Source organism: Homo sapiens, chromosome 14 (genome assembly GCF_000001405.40).
Source record: "Homo sapiens chromosome 14, GRCh38.p14 Primary Assembly".
Taxonomy (NCBI): domain Eukaryota; kingdom Metazoa; phylum Chordata; class Mammalia; order Primates; family Hominidae; genus Homo; species Homo sapiens.
Window position 1 is genome coordinate 41,628,180 of NC_000014.9, and position 22,657 is coordinate 41,650,836.

Below are 22,657 nucleotides of genomic sequence, written 5' to 3' on the forward strand. Positions count from 1 at the left end.
TTAAGTTTCTTTTACCCCTCATTTATTCTTAACAATATCTTGCCTTTTTCTCACTAAGCTGTCAGTGAAGTCATTTATCAGAGTAGGCAAAAATAAAAGATTTCTATCTTTAGGCTGGTCCTCTTTTTCTCTTGTCAGGTTTTGCATCTTTAACTCATTGATTTATTCATTCAACAAATATTTATTGCTAAACGTCTTCCTGTTCCATAAAGAGTGGTAGGATCTAAAGACTGAGCAATAGAGTGAGACTTCATGTCTACAAAAAAAATTAATAACTTGCCAGGTGTGGTGGCATGCACCTGTAGTTCTAGCTGCTTGGGAGGCTGAGGTGGGAGGATCACTTGAGGCCAGGAGGGCCAGGCTGCAGCAAGCCATGATTGTGTCACTGCACTCCAGCCTCGGCAATAGAATAAGACCCTGTCTATAAATAAATAAATAAATAAATAAAAGCTTAGCAGTAAACAAGAGAGAGGTGATTGTTGTCTTGGTTGAATGTACAGATTAGGAGGGAATCAGATTCCCAAGCATTCATTGATTAAATGTATTGAGCACCAATATGATGTCTGATATGGATAGTAGCATTGAAGATATAGAGTGGATTTGCACGTGTGGGGACTGTGATAAAACAGGAAACTTCGTGTGCCCTGGCAGTGTGTAAGGTGACATCTCAACATCAGACTCACCTTCTTTTGTGTCTCCTGTCAGCGCATACTACATAAGGCACAGAGATGGTGCATGTTGGACTTGCTGTTTATGTCGAATCTACCTTTCTGACTCTCACAACTTCCCATTTAGTGTGTAAACTGTTAAAATCCAGTTGTTAGGTTAGATTCATCACCAGCTGCTTTTAAAAAGTAGATATTTGTAGATATTTATAGATCTATATAGATATTTAAAGGCATTGAAGATGCCATATGTCTCTACATTTGCAAAAAAAATACATTCTGCAGTTATTTATAAGTTCTGGGGATTTTCCCACTTTTATTTTAGATCATATATACTGCTCTGGCTCAAGTGTTGGGTTGAGAATGTCTTTAAAGGTTATTCTTCATTAATCAAAAACTCACTGCCCTATGATTGTTTCTTGTATTGCGCCATCAGATAATTTATCCAACAACAGGAGAATGGGATTTTACTGTTCAACCAGCTTCATGCTTACTTATTTGTGGGTTACATGTCCATGTAGCTTTATGGCCTTGAAAGGGTTTTCTATTACTTATTTGTAAAATAATGGCATAGTTTTGCTTTATTTCACTCTCTTCAACACACTAAGATATTCAAAGTTTCTTGCATTTACTTAGGTTAGACAAATACCATTTTATTTCTCTGAATAAAATTTCCTAATTGTATAGTCAGTGTAGCCGATACAAATATTGTTCAAGGATAACTAAATTGTTTGTAGTTCTCTAAACGCAGTAAGCTATTTCATGTTTTGGTGTCTTTGCTTTTGCTCCTCATTCTGCTAAAATGTCATTTTCCTGATCATCCTTTAATTAGTCATTCAACAAGATTTCCAAAATCTCCTTTGGAAGGAGGCATTCCCAGTGCTTCAAAGTTGAAGTTAGTGTCACATGTCTTAGTTCCCATACTGCACTCAAATCATATGTACTGGTGAGACCACAGGGGAGTTTCTTCTAAGTAGCTTCATAAGTTGCAGAATCAGTTCCAGAATCTTTGAGAAGTTGTTTTTTCTGAGAGCCTTACTTTTTTTTATGTAGTGGCTGTTTTGTATCAGAGCTTTATTTCGTTGTCACACACATTATATTTAAATCATTTATCCTTCTATTTACATATGAGACAGTCACTGATATCTTTGAGTATGGGATATATTTAGCTTCTTTCAATTTTTTTATCCAAGTACCTAGAAAGGTGCTTAAGATATTGTCAACATGAAGCACTCAGTTATGTGTAAAGGCATTAATGATGTCATAAAACACAGGTGACAGTTTTCTCAGAGGTTTTCTCTGACCCTGTTAATGCTAAGCAAAAGATTCACTATAGGATGATATCTGAAAAAACTTTTATCAATAAAGAAGTAAGGGGAAGAGCTAGGAAGGACCTATATACATCTTGGTTAAATTAAAGCATTCCTCTGGATTAAATCACTTTAGGGCAAAGACTTTTTTTCAGTTTTGTAGATACCTGTCTGAATTGGCAGTTGGATCATGTAAATTCAATAAATACTGTAAATATTTATTGTTTCAAAAGTATAATGGGAATTGCTGATCCTATTTAAGGGTTTCTGAAGACTGCTTTTGAGAAATGCATGTCCTTAAAAATATGCTCTTGGATTACATTCTTCTCATTTGTTTAATATCAATCTGTATTGTTTGCTTAGAACTTCTAATTCCATGTTTTATATTATATACTGTAATTACTATTTATTTGTTGTCAATTTAGATGTGCAGTAATGAAACATTGAGTAGAATTTCATTTATTTAAGAGCATTGCTATTTTGCACTATATACTTTTGAGAGAACATAAATGGGAAAAGATAATTTTCTTTTACTTTATTCATTTAACACATAACTGCTTCAATCATGGGACATAAATTTATCTGCTCGAGTTTTCATCGGTCACTTGTAAAGTCTTTTATATACGATTAGAAATTATATTTTCTTGAGAGTTTCCTTTGATATTTATATTAGTTCTTTATCGTTTTGCTAATTATTTATATAAAGGTATTTCCTTTTAATTAAATGAATTTAACTGGAAGGCTTAACAATTATAATCTGGAGATCTTTTCTGATTTACCGACTGTTGGGGTGAATTAGGTTGGAATGGCTTATGTAAAGCTCTGGACTCTCTTCTTTTAATCCTCCCTCTTTTAATTTATACTGTATATTCCTGCAAGATAAATCTTCGTAAAATGCTTCAGTCAAGTAATTTCCCCACTCAAAAACCTCTAGAGGTCCCTCATTGCTTACTAAATTAAACTCAAACTTGCTCTCTGACATTCATAGCCCTCCAAACCCCAATATAATCCAGCTCTAATCTCAACTATTACTATTCCTCTGTTTACACTGTTCACAACAGTAAGACAGAATTATTTGGCTTCCACAGACTCTATTTTATTTTTTTCCACTCTGTGTATTTTTCTGGGCTTGTTCTTCCTGGAACACTTGTTCCTGTATCATTCCATACTGTTCAAATCTAATTGATCCTTCAGAACCTATCTCAGAAAACCATGTCTGTGAGAAGCCTCTCCTGATTTATTTATTCAACAAGTATGTACCTTCCCAGGCATTAGTCAAGTGTACTGTGAATGAAAAAGACAAAAATCCCTATTATCCAGAGCTTACTTTTTAGCTAGGGGAGGTAGATAATAAATGAGGAAACATATAAATAAAAAATAAAGATTTAAATATATAAAATATGAAGTTATAAGAATTATGAAGGAAAATAGTGAATGTAAGATATCAAGTGTGGAATTTGAGAGGGAGGGCTGATATTTTATTGAAAGTGATCAGGAACATGTCATCTCAGATGAGAAGGTATTTTTCAGAGATGCCTACTGAGAGAAATAATAAGTCATGAGTATATCCAGAAGAACAGAGCCTGAGAGAGGAGTGAGTTCAAGAACCTTGGGGCAGAAGCAAGCTTAGCATGGTTATAAAATAGCCAAAGGGCAAATGCGGCTAAACAGAACTGAGTGAGCAGAAGAGTCACTGAAGTCAGAGAGGAGTAAGTCCTGGGGACCAGTTAAAGGACTTTGGTTTTCATTATGAAAGAGATGAGAAGCCACGGAGAGTTTTGAGCAGAGGCATGACCTGAAATGGCTTATATTATAAAGGATTGCTCTGGCTGCTGCCCTTGAATAGACTCTAATGACACAAAGGAAAAACAAGGGAGGACTAAAGTCTATGCTGATCAAGACTTAGTGGTAAATTGAACCAGAGTTCTGGCGTAGGAAGTGACTAGATTCAGGGAAACTATCATAAAATAAGGAAGTACGTATAAAGGGTGAATAAGAAGTCACAAGGAAAAAAAAAACGTAGCATTTCGGGGAATAGTACTTCATCTTAATAACTATCATTCCTTTTTATTATGTTTGTTTCTTGTAACAGTTTCTTTACTATGCTGTTACTTCCATCATCCATATGTTAATCTCATAACGGCCCTTTAAAAATGTAGGTGTTGTTGGCCGGGCGTGGTGGCTCACGCCTGTAATCCCAGCACTTTGGGAGGCTGAGGCTGGTGGATCACCCCAGGTTAGGTGTTCAAGACCAGCCTGGCCAACATGGTGAAACCCCATCTCTATTAAAAATACAAAATTAGCTGGCTGTGGTGGTATGCACCTTTAATCCCAGCTACTCGGGAGGCTAAGGGAGGAGAATTTCTTGAACCCAGGAGGTGGAGGTTGCCGTGAGCCGAGATCGCACTATTGCACTCCAGCATGGGCAATAAGAGAGATATTTTGTCTCAAAAACAAAAATAAAAGTATGTGTTGTTATTGTTACATTTATACAGATGAGGAACTTAGAATACAGAGAGTTTGAGTTATAAGAAAATATTGTATGTGTCAATCTTCCTGTAGTCTTAGTAGAACAGGAAAAAAAGGCAAGGAATAAATACACTAGAATTTTACTAGTGGTAGAATAATAAATAATATTTTAGATTTTTATGTTTATCTGCATCTGTTTCAAGAAAATGTATGATTTTTCTTCTACTTATTTTAAAATTCTTATATTTTGGTGAATAAGGATATTGCCTTAATAATCTCATAACCATTAAATGTAAGAATTATGAATTGATACCCCATTTATATGATTTTTCTGTGCTATTTTATAGTTAACAAAGTACAGAATTTGCAGTCAGACTTGGTTTCCAATTCTATAACCTTGGACAAATAATTTAGACCCTATGAACCTCAGGGTCTTCATCTGTAAACTGAAATCCCAAGGTTTTAGACTTATTTTCAGGATGTAAGTGGAAACCAAATGACAGTCTTAAACACAATACCTGTCACAAAATACAGCATAATAAATGACTGCTATTATGATGCCCATGTTATGTAGATATTCAGATTAAATTTTTCAGCAGATAAGAAAAAATATATAGTACTATAATATATATAAACAAATAGCTGTATATAACTAATAAATTACTATGAAAATGAATTTCAATTCAGAATGTTAAAAAATTTCACTGTTTAATTCTTCAATTTTGTGACTTGATTTTAGAACTTTGTAGATGGCATTTATTTTCATTTTTAAATAATTAATATGCATTAATTTCTTGTCACTTACTTATAAATGCCTTAGCAGATACATTTCAATAACTTTGAAAAATTATGAATAATCAGTTCAGGATTACTCTTAGATACTGGTTTAACATGGGCCAGTGTTTAGTGAAACAATCTGCTAACATCAGTTGCAAACAGACTTGATGTCAGTGCCTGTTTTGTCTAAATAGAAGTTTTAGGATCAGGTCCAATTCCATAAAAGTCATTGCAATTATGACATTATGTGTCACAAAGTAAATTAAGATATTCTTTTTTTCAATTACATTTTTAAAAACATCAAACAAAAATGTTTTCTGTAATTTTTGTAAATGTTGCCTTCTCTAGTTAGAAAATTTTAAAAAACAGTATAAAATAAAACTGTTTAAATGTAATTATGTGCACACCTAAAATAATGGAATAGACCCTATCTTCCTCATACACAAGTGTATGTATGTATGTATGTTTTTTCCCTATGCTTTATAGCAATCCAAATAAAAGACTGCTAGATACCAATTAGTGTGACTCAATTGCATTTTTCCTAGAGATATGGAACAAAGAAATAAAAAAATCCAATCTTCTGCAGCGTTTCAAAATTATCAGTTCTAATGAATTATCGCCATATAATTATATTATTAACATTTGCTTTGCCTCTATTATAAGTTATTCTCATTAGCTTTCAATTTCCTTCAGTGTCACAGGATTCTTCATAGTACAGTGACTGTTATAAAATAAACTCATACTATGTAATAGTTCTCAGTAAAACTGGGCTGAGTTTGTGAAGGGTATGCATCATAATGAGCTCCACCACACTTAATTTTAGATCTGTGTGAATCACCAATGAGCCTATCTTTTCTTAAATTAGATTTTTCAGCATCTTCTATTAATATATTGGAAGCCATACTCCTTTTTGAATAGTAGCCAAAAATATGTCACTAAGTTAGGAAGTTCTTCTAGTGATGGAATCATCCAGAGATAGCCCTCTGTCTAATGCAGTTTCTCCCCGTGGAGTCTCCCGATGTTCAAAAAGCCATAAAGGCAAATAGCTTCATACAGAGAAAGGACATGCAGTGCTGTTGGCTAGACACGAGATCTTCTGTACTTCAACAGTAGAAATAAAATAGTAGAATCATATAATTTGGTAACTAGGGAAGGATTTTGTAATCATCCCTGATACACCATCTGGATAGACATAGGTCCTGAAAAGTTGAAGTATGAAACTTTCTTTCAGGGCTTGGTTAACTATAATATATCTTGTAAACTGATTCTAAGACCTGTATGTTCCAATGTGTACTAACGACCCTCTGCTTAAATTGAATCCTAATGCTGTAGGGTTTGGGTCTGTTTTAATTTGTATCATTTTCAGTTTTGATTCCTTTTTGGCATATTGAAAATCATTTGAAAGTGAAGTTTGTTCTTTTGCTTTTACATACACTGGATCAACATTCTTTTAAATTATTCTTAAATATGGTATATAATATGAAAAATGCATTATTATAGTCCCCTGATAAATAATTATTCCCTGAGAAATAATTTAATTATGTAATGAAACATAATTACATTTAAACAGTTTTATTTTATGCTGTTTTTTAAAATTTTCTAACTATAGAAGGCAATCTTTACAATCGGGGAATTATTATACCATTAGAACTTATGAGTATAATCAGTAAGTTGCTCTCAAATAACAATTATAAAAGAACAGCATGTTGATATTTTTATAATTTTAGAACTTAGAGAAACATCATTTTTGATTTATAGTGAATCTGGAACATATTACTGTCCAATACGTTGTATTTTGTTAAGAAACCATGCTGAATTCTGACTATTGACCTAGATACAGCCTTCAAAATGATGAAAAATTAGAATGTGCTTTTGTATTTCCTTAAAATGTCTTAGTTTGAATACATTATTTTTAAAAACATAAATAAGATTATGTATTCACAGGCCTCTGTGTTGGCTAGTACATATAATTTATCTGAAACTTTATAAACCAAAGAACCCAAATACTCAAGTGTCATAATTTTGAGTCCAGTTTTAAAAGTTAATACATGTAGTCAAAATTAAGTTGTTATATCCTTGAGAACTACAACAACCTCACTCGTGATTCTAATCAAATCAGAATACTAAGCGTGCAGTAGGGGACTACTGTGTTTATGGGGTATAAAGAAAGAAAGATAAGATCAAGTTGTTAGGAATCCAGAAAAATATCACAGAGAAGGAGGCACCTGAGGTTGTCCTTGAAGAACAGGTTAGATTACAGTGGTTTGAAAATAAGGGCAGGTATTTTAGAATAAGGGAACAGTATGAATAAAACAACAACAGGTGAGGTCCAAATCATGTTTGGGTATAAGGAACAGTCTCACTACTGCTTCAGTATAGGACATAAATAGGATATTTATGTATGTTTTTCCTTTTTTTGCTCCTATGTAGGCATAACTCAAGGTGTTATTATTAGATCCAGAATCTGTCCATACTAGTTTCTAATTCTTAAAGAGCTCCATTCTAAATTTGCATACTTTACCCTTATCCTGGTATCCCAGCAGAGCAGTCAGGATTGGAACATTCTAGTCAACCCTGTTTGGGGTCTATTTCATTCAAGCCCAGAACTGACTGGGTGGACTCCATGTTAATGGGGAAAAACACCTGAAATATTTTAAAGATAAGGAATTCATATTAGGTTTTGATGACATTTGGGAGCCACTGAGGTTCTCTGTTGAGAAATTATACTGTTGGAACTTACGAGTATAATCAGATATTGGTTCAACTGATGAGTAAGAGAAATATTTGAAGCAATGAGACTGGTTAAAAGGCAGTTAAAACATTCTGGGTGGAGGCAATGAGGAAATACATCATGGAGTTGGTATTACAAATGGACATAAACATATGGCTCAGTGAACTTCAGTTTACTTCCATTAGAATTTAGCAATTAGGAGTTTTAAAATTAGGAGTTAAACATTTTCATTTTTGATATCATGGAGGTGAATAATGAACTTTCTTTTAATCTCAAGCTCTTGGTCTGAAAGAGGAGTTAATTTCATGGGTCTCTTGCACTGTTCCTTACTATGGGTATTTGTTATGGCTTGCAGGCCCCTCAGCACCAGTTACATTGTTTAGGCCAGATAGAAAGTAGATGCTTAGCACCAACATGGCACATGTATACATATGTAACAAACCTGCAGGTTGCGCATATGTACCCTAGAACTTAAAGTATAATTAAAAAAAAAAAAGTAAGTAGGTGCTTAGGCTATGGTCTCCAGTAGGAGGTGTGGAGCAGGTTTACTGTGCACTGGTTACCAACTTGCCTGATTCCAATGAGACAGAACACACTCATATGCAGCAAGCCACATGAAGTGGATTTATTACTTACAGATAAGCAGAAAGGGACAAAAGAAGCATAGCATCCTATGTGAGCTCATTTCTCAAGGTTCAAAAAAGCTTACTAGGGCAGATTGAGTTTTGACTGCACAGGCCCCACTTGCACCAGAGCTGTGGGACCCCCCTAGAGGCAGACTGCCTTGGGTTATATACCTCAGCGGCAGCATGAATCACTGAGTAAATATTTGAAGGACATCCTGCATCCAGGAGAATGAGAAACTAAGTCTTGAATATTGCAGGCAATTCCTTTCTAACTCAAGATGTTACATTCCACAAGAGAGACATGAACAAGGCTTGAACTGTGTCAGGCAGCTTCTCCCTATCTCAGGATATTCCATTTCCAGTTCATTCTGTAGATATGCTTGAGAACTACAAACAAGAAAGAGGGGAGAATTGGGTTAGTTCAAGGTCACCCAGAGAACTGTTCTGTAGGAGGCCCTATCCTAGTCAGGCTGTTTAATTTCATGATTGTAACTAGGGAGAGTTGTTCTCTTTTCTTGTGCTTCCATCATCTTGCAGTCAGCCAATTACATGGTTTTCAGCTTGGTATGTTCAAATATATCATTTTAATTTAGTGATTTAAGCAAATTAAAACTATTAGAATCAAGGGAGGAAGGAAAACTTTTTTTTTCCCTTTTCCAAACCTGCCTTACTCCTATGTAGGTATAAATTAAGGGGTCTTTATTAAATCCAGAATTTTTCTATACTAGTGTTGAATTCTTAAAGAGCTCCATTCTAAATTTGCACACTTTACCCTTATCCTGTTATCACAGCGCAGTAGTTAGAATTGGAATGATTCTATTCACTCATGTTTGAGGTCTATTTCAGTCAAGCCCAGAACTCATTGGGTGGATCCGTGTTATTCTTTTGCTCTGAGCTCTGTACACCTTATTTGGAGGTCATTAATATTATAGGTTGCTTATAGATAAGTGAATTTTGCAGCTTGTATCTAAGGATAAGTCTAAAAAGTATAAGAGCTTCTTGATTTGCATTTTTGTTAAGCACCAGGGATATGACCGCATTCTTCATAATTTCGAGGGAGTCCTTAGAACCTTTTAGACAAGATCAGATTGTCATGTGAATTTAGCACCTTGAACAATTCCTCTCTGCCCATGGGCTCCACTGCAGGTACCTAGATAGCTTTCTGGGTTTTGCTTCAAATTGTACTTTCTGTTTAGTCCCTTGGATTTAATATAAAAACATTCTCTTATTTCCAGGCCCATTTTGCCTATTGCAGCAACACCAGATCCTCTTGGTTATCACCTTTTGTGACTGGACAACACTAACCACAAGACAGCTGTGATATCCTAAATGCATGCTATAGTATGACAGTAACCTATCCATATGGATAACAGCACCCCAATTTCTCTACTCAGCTCATAGAAATTATGTACCCTGAAGACCTTGGGACCTCCAGGATTTCTGCCATTAGTAGTGAGGACTTTGAAAATGTCAATATATTTTCATGTCACACTAGATATAACTTGTTCCTCCTAATTAAAATGATAGAGGGTTAGAAACCAAGATTGGCCCAAGCAAGAGCTGTGCAATTCTCCTTAGAATACAGTGGAAGCATCTCTCTAGTGTCAATAATTAATTCTATACTGTCAGAGGGGCAGCTGTGTGTCCCAAGGAATTACTGAAGGACAGCCCTTCCCATTATTGCTTAAATATACTTTTAGGGAATGAATGATGAAAGCAATTTAGTGAAGAAAAATGGACTGTGAACATGTAGTATAAAATTCTAATCGCTTTCTATTGCTAAATGGGAAAAAGACGTTTAAAAATAACTGATTTACCAGGTTTCTAGCTTGTAACTCTCCTAGTATTGTATATTGATTCTGCTTACTGAAATTCATGTTCTGTGAGAGAAAGATATTAGTTCTTTAATAAAATAATTTTAGCCAATTCAATGAATAGATGCTAGTTTTAAAATTAATGTAACCTAATATGATAATTTATAGCTTTTATAACATAAACTAAATTATGTAATGTATAAACAGATTAATTTTTATAAAGCATAGTAATAATGATAAATATGTTAACATCATTAAATATTTTAATTAGAGTTTTAAAAATATTCTTCTAGAAATACAGCATCAGTGATACAGTGGACATGTTTCAATTATAGATAGAAGTAATTTATATTTGTACATAACTTTGGCATCTGCTAGAAAATATTTCTCTTATTTAATCCTTACAAAAATGCTGTGAGGTAGAAAAGGTTGGTGTCATTATATTTACAGTAAATAGAAGAAATTTGTTCAATAAAACATACCTGAAAAGTGACAGAAATGGAGCTAGAGTCTTATGACTCCTAGTATTAGTTTGTCTCTATTGAAATGCTGAAATTATATATGTATAATATATATATTACTAAAGACAGGGCTCATGAATCATTTGCTCAATAGCAGGAATCCATTGTGTTTCTCTTTTTGGCCAGGTATCTTGCAAGGCACAGGGAACACAACGTTAACGAGTAGGTTTGCCTTCAAAGGATGGACAGTCTGATAAATACTCTAATTTAGAAGTCACATAACAGTATTATGCAGTCTTCTCTTTTCCCCTACAATGTTATTGATTGACCAAAAAGAAGGTCATGGTTCAACTTGTTTTATCCGCAGATGAAGTGGAGGTTCTCATTGAAAGAGAACTCTTCCAAGAACTGGACACCTGGCTTCCACTTTTGCCTTGTTACTAACGTTATGTGTAACATTGAGAGTATCATTTAACCTTTTTAGTCCTTAGTTTGTTCATTTATGAAATAGTTAAAATAAAACTTGACCTACCTACCTCACAGGATCAATGTGAGGAAGAAAAATATGATTTCATAGGTAAAATCAAAATTGAAAAATGTAGGAGGACTGAACAGATACAGGATAACAATGTTTAATTCTGGACTGTATGGAACAATTATTATCAAATAACTAGAGTTATAATAAAAACTGTTGCATTGATGGTATCCAGCACATTCTTGTCTTTACTTTTATTAATTTTAATTAACTAGTTAATGTATTTATTTATTGAGATGTGGTCTTGCTTCATTTCCCAGGCTAGAGTGCAGTAATGCAATCATAGTTCAATGCAGCCTTGACCTCCCTGGCTCAAGTGAACCTCCTACCTCAGCCTCCACAGTAATTGGGACTACAGATGGATGCCAACATGACTGGCTAATTTTTTTTTTTTTTTTTTTTTTTTTTTTTATTTACAGCTGGGATCTCCCTATATTGCATAGGCTGGTCTCAAACTCCTGGGCATAAGCAATCCTCTTGACTGGGCTTCTCAAAGTGTTGGAATTACAGGTGTGAGTCACTATGCCCAGCCCATATTCTTTAATCGGGCCATACCCCTGGGATCCTGGGGGAAAAGTAAACTTAGGTGATGAAAATATCAGAGGTGGAAACATATTTCATTGTCCGTCTGAAGGCCCTGACATTCCAAATAAGCTTTGTCAATATGAATTTATAGGCTGAGGTAGATTGGAGTGCCACTTTTGCTTTGCCTTAGGCTGTTAATATAAAACATACACTTTTTATGTCAAGCCAAGTGGGGATAAGTTATTGCTAGAAACCTATAATGATTTCAGATTTTCAGAACAGTAATGGACGTCAAAGAACCATATATTCGTGTAGCTCTACATGGAAGGCAAACCTAATTTTGAATAAGCAAACTGAGGATGCATTTCCATTCTCAAATGGTTTCTATCATGACCTTTTTATATCAGATTGTACTTGTGTTTATATCTTTGAAGGAGAAATACACAGGAAAGATTAGGACACTGTGGAGATAGAGTCATGTGGAGCACTCATAAAAAATTAAATGTCCTCAGCATTCACAGAAGTAGGTCATTTCATTCTTAATTAAATTTATACATTATAGTCACTGATTAACTTGTATCTGGATATTAGATATTCTTGAGGCTTCCTTATTTGCAAAAACTATTGTACAAATAAATACTTTGTACACACAAAACTGTAACAAACAAATAATATCTAGTTAAGAAGTTTCTTTCTCGAATTTTATTGCCCTTTATCCCATATTTCATAATTTCACGCTTCTGTCTTGCATGCTTCTGGGATTCTCTATCTTAATGACCTATTTTTATCTTTGGTTGCTTGTATCAGCAAAATATGGGAAAACTCAGGTATAAATAGAACACACAGGACATTACCTTAACAACTATATGTGAATCCCTGGTGTTAGTATTTCAAGGATGACTATTCAAAGAAATGCCACAAAAATCTTGATGTTTTTCAAAGATATAGAATGGCTGAGTAGACAAAGAATAAAAAAAAATTCACACTCTCTAAAGTGCAAATTACATGAACTGTGGGCAGATAAACCCCTCCTAATGTAAAACCACAGCACAGTAACTTGAGACATATTTGATAATTCCCGGAGACAGGAAGATCTCTTTAGAGGGCGTTTGAAAACGCTATTCTGAAGGTCTAAAAGGACATTGGATGGGTCATATAAAATATTAACTATAAATTCAGGTATTAGAGCACTCTACAGAAATGAAAATGCATTTGGTGGTGGATTTCGTAAAATGGATGAAAGAAGTGAATTCATCTTTCTCTTTCACCATCATTAAGACAATTTTTCCCGTACCATTTTTTATTGCTTGCTGGTTGGATGGGAAGACTAACATTTTGGTTAATTTAAGTTTCAAATTTTAGCTATTTTATAACACATTTTTCGATATTTTGAAACACCATACTATAGTAATAAAATTACTATTTTCCCATTTTACATAAACATCAGTACTTTTAGCATGAAATGGCTTTTCTATACTTTTCTATACACATATTTGTAGTTTGCTTGGGAAGAAAACACAAAATTAAATGCCAATTTGCTCTTTAAATTCCATAAATATAATGCCACAGTAATAGAGATCAGATCCATGGTGTCCCAAACCTGATATTAACATAGTTCCTTGTGGTTTGATAATGGCTTTATGATTTATATTTAAAATATTTAGATAGATGAAGGGTAATTGTGCCACCCTAAAATATCAGAAAATGAAGTTTTGAAACTTTATTATAGTCACACAAATCAACTGATGTTCCTTTGTTTTTATAGTGCAAAATATTTCTCCTTTTTGAAAATGAGTGCATCAGCATAAAAGCCTCTTGAGCGAGAAAAATGTATATTGATCACTGTAAGTGCTTTTCTGTAATACCTTGAAGTTATTGAAATTGACCCTAAACCATGTTCTATTTCTGACAATGGATTCTTTTCATGTGTTATTTATTGATTTACAGCTTAATAGAGATGCAGAAGTAATTTCTGTTATGAAAAACACATGTAAGACCTTGTCTTACTATTTGAATTTGTTTGTAGCTTTAAGAAAACATCAAACACATTATACTCAATATAAGAGCTAACAGATTAACCAACATAACTCTTATAACACTTTCATCCTTCAATAATGTGTTGAAATAAATACACATACTGAATCATCTATTGGACCACAAAGTACAATCTGGCTAGTGCACATGTGGAGAAAATAAATTCTAGAGTAAAAGGTTGTTTGTGTTATAACCTGAATTCCACTCTTTCTCAGATTTAGTATATCATTCCTTTGCACCTCAGCATTTCCATTTGGAAAATAGTGATAACATTAGTCTTCTTCTAGCTCAATGGCTGTTATGAAAATACATGAGGCAGCATATGTGAATAGTTCCCAAAGCTTTCGAAGAAAGTTGCTTTGCAAATTGAGGTAATGCATAGGTCAACTTTCCTGGCTGAGGCAAGTGGTTCCTCATTGTTATTTAGTTTCTCCCATTCTAAGGGCAAAATAGGCTGCTTGCCAAAAGACATGGATTATCATGAAGAACTGGCATAGATTCCAGGACTTGAGCCCTGACTCCTGCTTTTGCATTCATAGTGACCTGGATCAAATGAAGACTGCCAGCATGGATTGACAGAAAGGCAATACATCTCATGATTCATGGGCTTCCATTTGCTACTTCACACTGTATTTTCCTTTTCTTTCTTTCTTTTTTTCTTAACATATTGAACTGTAGCGTAAAAGGCTAAATAAGATGTCCAGTTGTTTTATATAAAATTGTACACAATATAACACAGAGGTTTTAAATGTTAAAGATTAGAGACACATAGTTAGCTGGTTAAATCCAAATAATTTGTTATACTTGTACACTGTTACTTCATACTTCATTGTCACAATTTATACCATATATCTTAGCGCAAGTAATAAAAATGGGATTAAGAGCTTTACATAATCAGTGTGAGAGAGTCTCACTGAATGCAGTGTTAAAAATTCATCTTAACTGACTTATAATTTAGGAGCAAAATACAGCATTTAGAAAAATCATATATTTTTGACTCCCTACATATTTTGTTGATAAGCTAATTAATGATTACCTAGGTAGATATTCTGTGGTTCTTTTATAAAATAAATCAAGAGAAAAAGGTATAAATAGGAATCAAAAACATTCTTAATTCCATTACATTTTTCCAAACTGTTTGAGTGAATAAAGCTGACTAAATAATATCAGCAGAAATTAAATAATCAAAACCAATGGAATGTTGAATACATATTAGTGCAATTAAAGTTTTATATTTTTACATATGCAATATCCTGTGGAGATATTGAAATGGAAAATATTTTGGAATGATTTCCTCTCAGGGAGTATTTTTGAAATAAATCCCCTTTCCCCCCACATACATATCTTCTCGGCACACAAACCATGTGTGTTAGCTTCTAAGTTATCTTGTGTATTTGAAAATCATTTGTCTTTGAATCATTGGGTTGATTCAAGATTCTGGCTCTATCTTCAGTAGCTCCCATGATGCACTAAAAAAGGCAAATTCGATAACATCATTTCACATTCATCTATAAACTATTTTTCCTGGGCACAATCTCTCCCCACTGGCATGCACGTGAGAGTGCACACATAGACATAAACACACCACACACACACACACACACACTGACTGTTTAAAGCTATTTACCGTTACTCCCATATATTCTTTTAACCCTCTGCTTTAAACACTCTGATTTTCTCATCTTTCTCTACACATGAAACCATCTTTCCCTCTCTTCCTATGGTCATGTTTTTCCTTACAATAAACCACTTCTGTTCATAATCTCTGTAAGTCTCAAAGTGAATTCTTTACTAAATATGCCCAAACTAATCTTTCTCTACTCAGAGAGAAAGCTCTGTAACCAATGCAGTTTAGTAGGTTACCCTTTATAACATGTGGTAATATAAAAATAAACTACTGCTGTTGAAAGTTGAAATGAAAAGTAATTAGAATACTTTTTCTTGTTTGAAGTCATGGTTGAAAATGAAAGTGTGTTTTTGTTTCTGATACTTTTTGTGGTTGCTTTATTTTGCAAACACTTGAGGGTTTTAAAGTTAATAGATGCCTTGAGATTCTAAAAGTTTTATAAAATGATTATAACCAGTTTTGATAATATAGATACTTCATGTGTGGATCCAAGATTCCTAATGGACTTTAAATCATTTGCATTTACAACATGCATGTAGGCAGATTCCAAGAGTTATAAATTGGTCGTTGAATTTATTAGATAATGTCTTACATCTTTAAGAACATACAGAAGGGATGAAGACCATTTATGTTGCTTTCACTAACTGTTTAAATCTATCATGCATTTAGGAATATAATTGCAAGCTGCTGTTTAAAGTTTTGATAGTGTAATATCTGAAAATTATATACCTATCCTACTTTACTTAATATGCGTCCAGTTTTGTTAGTTATCATGAACCATGTACCACACAGTTTGGCAGGGTTGGGTAAGGAGATAGTCGGAGTGTGTGTTTTGTGTGTGTGTGTGTTATGTATATGTGTGTGTACTGGCAGAGGTTGAATTAAACCCTGTGATAAAAAAGGAATCAAGGCTTATCCTAAGAAAATGTATAAAGATCTTTCTTTAGGATATATTTTATGTCCTTCCCCTGTGTCCTCCAACTTTCAGTCGCTCCATTATTTGATAGTTTAATTCTCAGATGCTGAGGATCAGAACAGATGGATGCAGAAATTCTGGGAGAATCTTGGCTGAAGATGTGGGTTTCTCTTCTGCAAAGAACACAAGATCAGAGAATCTTTAAAATGAGATGGGAATAAATTTCAGGGATCATATTTGACATTCTAAATTAAAACATGGTTTCTTTTTTATGGTCTAAAAGCAGCTGTCTAGTTCCTTTAGAACAACCACAGTAAGGTAACTAAAGCATAATGGTTGAGAGCTTTTGGTATGGATTAGTCCAACTGGGCCTGTGTGTTCTACCTGTCCTAGCTAAATGAGCTTAGCGTCTTTTATGCTTCAATTCCTTCAACTGTAAAATGAAGTTATTAATAATACTTATTTCACAGTCTGGTTGAGGGGATTAAAAGAGATGATGCATGTAAAGTGTAGCATAGTGCTTGGAAGGAAATGCTCAATGACTAGTAGCAATGTTACCTGTTGATTGATTGATCGATTGATTGAAATGGAGTCTCACTGTGTCACCCAGGCTGGAGCGCAGTGGCACAATCTCTGCTCACTGCAACCTCCGCCTCCCAGGTTCAAGTGGTCGTCCTGCCTCAGCCTCCAGAGTAGCTGGGATTACAAGCGTGCACCACCACACCCAGCTAATTTTTGTATTTTTAGTAGAGATGGGGTTTCATCATGTTGGCCAGGCTGGTTTCCAGCCAGCAATTATTTTTATATGCTTACATTTTTTGAGAGTTTGTTAAAAAGTTTGTTTCCCCACATTTTAAGTCTCAAACTAGAATCTTGTTACTCCTACATGTTAGAAGAGTTTATACCTTGTAGATGGTATTCAAAAGGACTGTCTCTCTCAAATGGGAGCCATTTAAGCATTTAAGGTCACATGTTCCTCTTAAACTAAAATAATCAGTTGTTTCACCTCTTCATGGGTCATGATTCATCTTTCTTACTATTCTCCTCTGGGGACTGAACATTTGTTAATGTTCTCCTAGAAATTGATTGCAATATTTCTTGTAGATTGGAAGGGCAGAGTGAAGCAGAATTTTCACATACTCTTCTGTGTAATCTGCTTTTGGTGATGTAGGTTCCATTCTTATTATTTTGGGGCTACATTTTCATGTTAAATTGGGGCAGTTACAAATTACATTTTCAGCAACTTCATGAAAATTAACCCTTCAGTCAACACAAAACCTGAAGTGATTTTAAAATTGTTTTATTTTATTTTATTTCATGTTTTAGTTGACACAATAATTGTACATATTTGGGGAGTATACAGTGGTGTTTCAATATATATCATGTATAGTGATCAGATCAGAGTAAGTAGCATATCCGTCATCTCAAATATCATTTCTTTGTGTTGGGGACATTCAACATCCTTCTTTTAGCCATTTGAAACTATAATATATTATTGTTAATCATCCTATAGTTCTATGGAACACTAGAAGTTATTCCTTCTGTCCAGCATAATTTGTAACCCTTAATGAAATGATTTTTAATCTCCTATCCCATTGATTGGATGCTGTTATGTTTCATCATGTATATTTGTCTTTGTTTTAATTGATATTTTTAAGTTTTATTGCAGAAATTTCTTTCTATTCCTATTCCTATAAAAATAATTTCAGCTCCTGGTACTATCCTGTCTATTGCTGGACTAAAGCAAACTTTGTCTCACTTTTTGGGTGAGGATATTCAACATGAAGTAGAAACGGCACTCCCCAGACAAGGGAGAAGTCTCAGGGACACAGACCCCTTTTCTGTATCCCATTTCCTAGAATCACTTATCCTTGTAGTTAACTCCCAAAATGCTTCCTTTAGCCTTGAGAAGATAATATGAAATATCTTTCTATTAATTATGCCCTGATAAGCTCGCAACATCATTTTACTTTTTTTTGTTTTTGATTTTATGTTAGTATATCCTCATATTTGTAAAACATTTTAGTTCAATTTTGTACATTTATTGAGCATTCATGCTGTGCATGACAATGCTCACTGGTACTAAGGGGATCTCTTTCCTCACAAAGCTCTGTTGATATTGGCCATGGGCCTCCAGACAATTTCCAGAGCCACCTTTCAAAGTACAACTATGTGTGAGAACAGTCTTCCTAACAGCCTCAATTCTAGATCAGCTTGGAGTCAGATCAAGCCACACTCTGGGTGCTTCCATCTTGAGCATATCTAAATTGAGGCAAGGATGGAGAGTATTCAGAGAACAAGAGAGTCCTTTTGTTTTCCAGGAGTCTGTGAGGAAGTAAAATTTGGTGAAAAATTTTGGAAGACTGAATGTTTATATGACACTTTTATTGGTATATATCAATTTATGCACCTAACATTAGCCCCAAGTCTTATCAAGTTCCCCTGATGTTTATATTGTTGGTGTTTAACCAATAGCTCCTCTCATCCTTTTCATGTGATTTTAGTGTATTTGGATAACATACATAGATTTTGATTCTGCATATTATAAAATTTTTTCGATGTCACCAATCACCATACCACAGAAACAATATGACAAATGCCTACTCCTTGTCTAGGCCCCATATAATGAAGACCCAGCCTCAGCTTATCTGGGAAAGCAAATCAGTCATCAAATGCCACCCAAAGAAGTTTGGGCATTTTTTATAAATGTTACATCTCATGGAGGAATTTAGACAAGAAATAACATGGCTAGTAAAATCAGATGGATAGCAGTACGTAGTAGGTGGGATGTAGGTACGTCAGGAGATTTTTGCAGTGGGCATGAGGCTGTTTATGAAGAAGCCATGTAGAAGTACAATCTACAAGCATTGGTAACTGAAGGGGGCAGAGAAGTGGAGGAAGGGGTTAGGTTAGTTGGAGGTCATAATATGGATATTAATTATAATTTTAACAAGGGTAAGAAAGGCTGAAGGATATGGCTCATCAGGAGGATAAAGTGTTCAGGTTTGGGCATGTTTACTTTGAGTTCCACATGGGATAAGAACAGGGATTCAAAACTTAACATAAGAAGAGATGCCAACTCTGGACCAAGAAGAGATTTGATAGTCATCCAGTTTTTGAAGTGATTGGATGAAGGAGCTAATCAGATGGGAAAAAACTGAGAGGACTAGACCAAGATGGTGGGGAGTGTGATGATAAATTTTAAACAACAGGAGAGACAATATCTAAACTCAGGTAATTTTAAGAAGAATAAAGATTACATAGGCAAATAGATGTTATTACAGTAATAGTTAAGAAGAATATGGCCAATTTAACATTTTGAGGCAGTATATCTCTATGTAACCCTATATTAACATATCTACATCTATATCTTTTTATATAGCTGCATCCTTTGTTCAATAGTATGCTTTTGGAGGTAACATACAAGCGCCATCAGCATTTTGCTTATTTGGTGAGAAATCACCAAATCTGTTATTGTTACAATAAAACAATATAATAATTCTTTTTACCACCAGTAATTTTTCAGAAGGCTCTAGTATGGAATATACCATTATTGTTTAAAATTGTTCTTGAAGTGTTCAAGAAAAAAATTGACATTGGAAATGAAGAGGTGTATTTAATATTATTTCCAGATTATTTTATCAACCTGGAAATCTTCCAAATCAATAAATGTTTTCAAAATAATAATAATTAATTATTGTGCCTGGTGATAATATAACCATATAGAATTCAATAGTTTGCTTTAAATAATTGGCAGTAATCTTAGTCTAGGCAACCAAGCGAGACTTTTGTCTCTAAAAAATAAAAATAAATAAAAATTGGCAGTTGCCAATTGAAAAATAAAATGGCTGTGTCGTCAAAATACCTTAAAACATTAAAAAATGCTCAGGATTAATTTTAAGACATGTATAAAAACTTTATTAATAAAACTGTAAGTATTTCTGAGAGAAATTTAATAAAACAAATAAATGGCATTAACAAATCTCTTGCATGGGATGACTCTATATTTTAAACATGCCACTTTTCCCAAAACTCTTTAATGTGTTTATTAGAATTCACCTCCCCTCCACTCCGCCCTCCCCTTACAGAGGCATCCACTTTTGTTTTTTTTTGGAACATAATGAAATAATTCTCAATTTTATTTGAAGGACAAACCTTTAATTGAAATTATTAATCATAAAAATTATTATAGAAATAATATTCTAGAACTTGCCCTGTAAACTTCTATCATGTAATTGAAAACGTGTAATTAAATATTGGTGAAAAGTTGACAAGTAATATAATGAAAATTAAACGTTTTTAAAGAAGTAAGCACCAGGCTGGGCGCGCTGGCTTGCGGATCACCTGAGGTCAGGAGTTCAAGACCAGCCTGGCCAACATGGCGATACCCCGTCTCTACTAAAAAAATACAAAAATTAGTTGGGCGTTGTGGCGGGCGCCTGTCATCCCAGCTACTCGGAAGGCTGAGGTGGGGAGAATTGCTTGAACCCGGGAGGCGGAGGTTGCAGTGAGCTGAGATTGCGCCACTGCACTTCAACCTGGGCAAAAGAGCGAGAGTCTGTCTCCCCACCACCCCCACCCCCCAAAAAAAGTAAGCACCAGTAAGTATATCAATTTAGTTTTTAGGCTAGAATTTTAATAATATTGAGAAAATGATAAATTGTTTAATAATTAATATTGTCATAGTTTTAAGTTTGGAAAAGCACTTGAGTAAATATATTACCACTGTAGATCAAAATAAATACTCAAATATTTAATATTTAGCTGTTAAGATACTATAATAAAATGGTATAAGTATAATACATTTTACATTTGGTGACAAAAATTATTTGCTTGGCTAAGCTTGAGTCAGGCTTCTGAATCTTCTCCTAGGCCCATCTGTGCACTTCATTATAAAATCCAGTTTTAGCAAAGAACCCTGCTGCGTCAGTTTAGCAAGAATCCCCCATCCTCAATATCTGATCATCTTTGATATTTTATCAGGTTCCTCATCCTCCACATCCCCAAATGACACCTGATCACCCTGGTCTGTCTTCAGCAAGAATCCTGTTAGGTGGGTTTAACCAAAATTCTCCTTACCCCTGACGTTTCCTCTTAGTAATTTTCAATTCACTGAACTCCACACTGCTCTTTGGCTATAAATTCCTACTTGACCCTGCTGTATTTGGAGTAGAGCCCAACCACTCTCCCCCATTGCAATACTCTGTTTCAGTAGTTCCTCTAGCCATGTTGATGCTACTGAATAAAATCTTTCTTATTGGGCTTTAATAAGTCTCATAGAATATATGTATTTTTAACATTTGTAGTGCTCAAAGGCAATAATAATTAAGAAAAAATGTAAAGATTTCACTGTGTAAACATTTTATTTTGCGTTTTAGTTAAAAGTAATAAAAACCAAAGTCAATAAACAAATTATGTGCTGGTAAAAGATATTTGCAACACAAGCCGAGCGTGGTGGCTCACACCTGTAATCCCAGCACTTTGGGAGGCTGAGGTGATAGATTACTTGAGGTCAGGTGTTCAAGACCAGCCTGGCCAACATAGTGAAACCCTGTATCTACAAAAATACACACACACACACACACACACACACACACAAAAAAAAAAAAGATACTTGCAACACAGATGAGAGATAGAGGTTTAATTTACCTATAATATTAATATAAATTGCCAATATTAAAAAGACCAATGAGGATATGGTGATTTGTAATAGGTGAAATGGTTGAGGTCAATATGTAATAGGTGAAATGGTTGAGGTCAATCAGAGTGAAAATATAATTAAATTTGTTAGCAATTAAAGATGTGCTTCAGTGACAACAAATCGGTGAGCTAATGGAAATTTACATGAACTCTTTGTTAGAGGATACATTGATAGAACCTTTCTAAGAAGCAACCTGACAGTATGTATAAAACTTAAATATTAGTAAGGCTTTAATTCAGAAAATCCACATTGAATAATCTCTTTTAAGGAAATGATTTAAAAATTACATATTTATGTAGATTTATATGGGAATATTTATAAAGAACAAAAAGGAAGAAAACATCTTGAAGTATTTTGTTCCTGGTTAAGTTAAAGTACATTGCTACTCACATTAGAATGTGGTGTAGCCATCAAATATTTAAACCAACATGTTCACTAATATGCTCTTAAGTAAAAGTAGACATGA

General features: G+C 34.2%; 1 protein-coding gene across 6 annotated transcripts in view; it reads left to right on the top strand.

The window, feature by feature from the left end:
- The window catches only part of LRFN5 (leucine rich repeat and fibronectin type III domain containing 5), a 297,674-nt gene that overhangs the window by 21,304 nt on the left and 253,713 nt on the right, over positions 1-22,657 (top strand). The gene's annotated exons all lie outside the window — the stretch shown is intronic.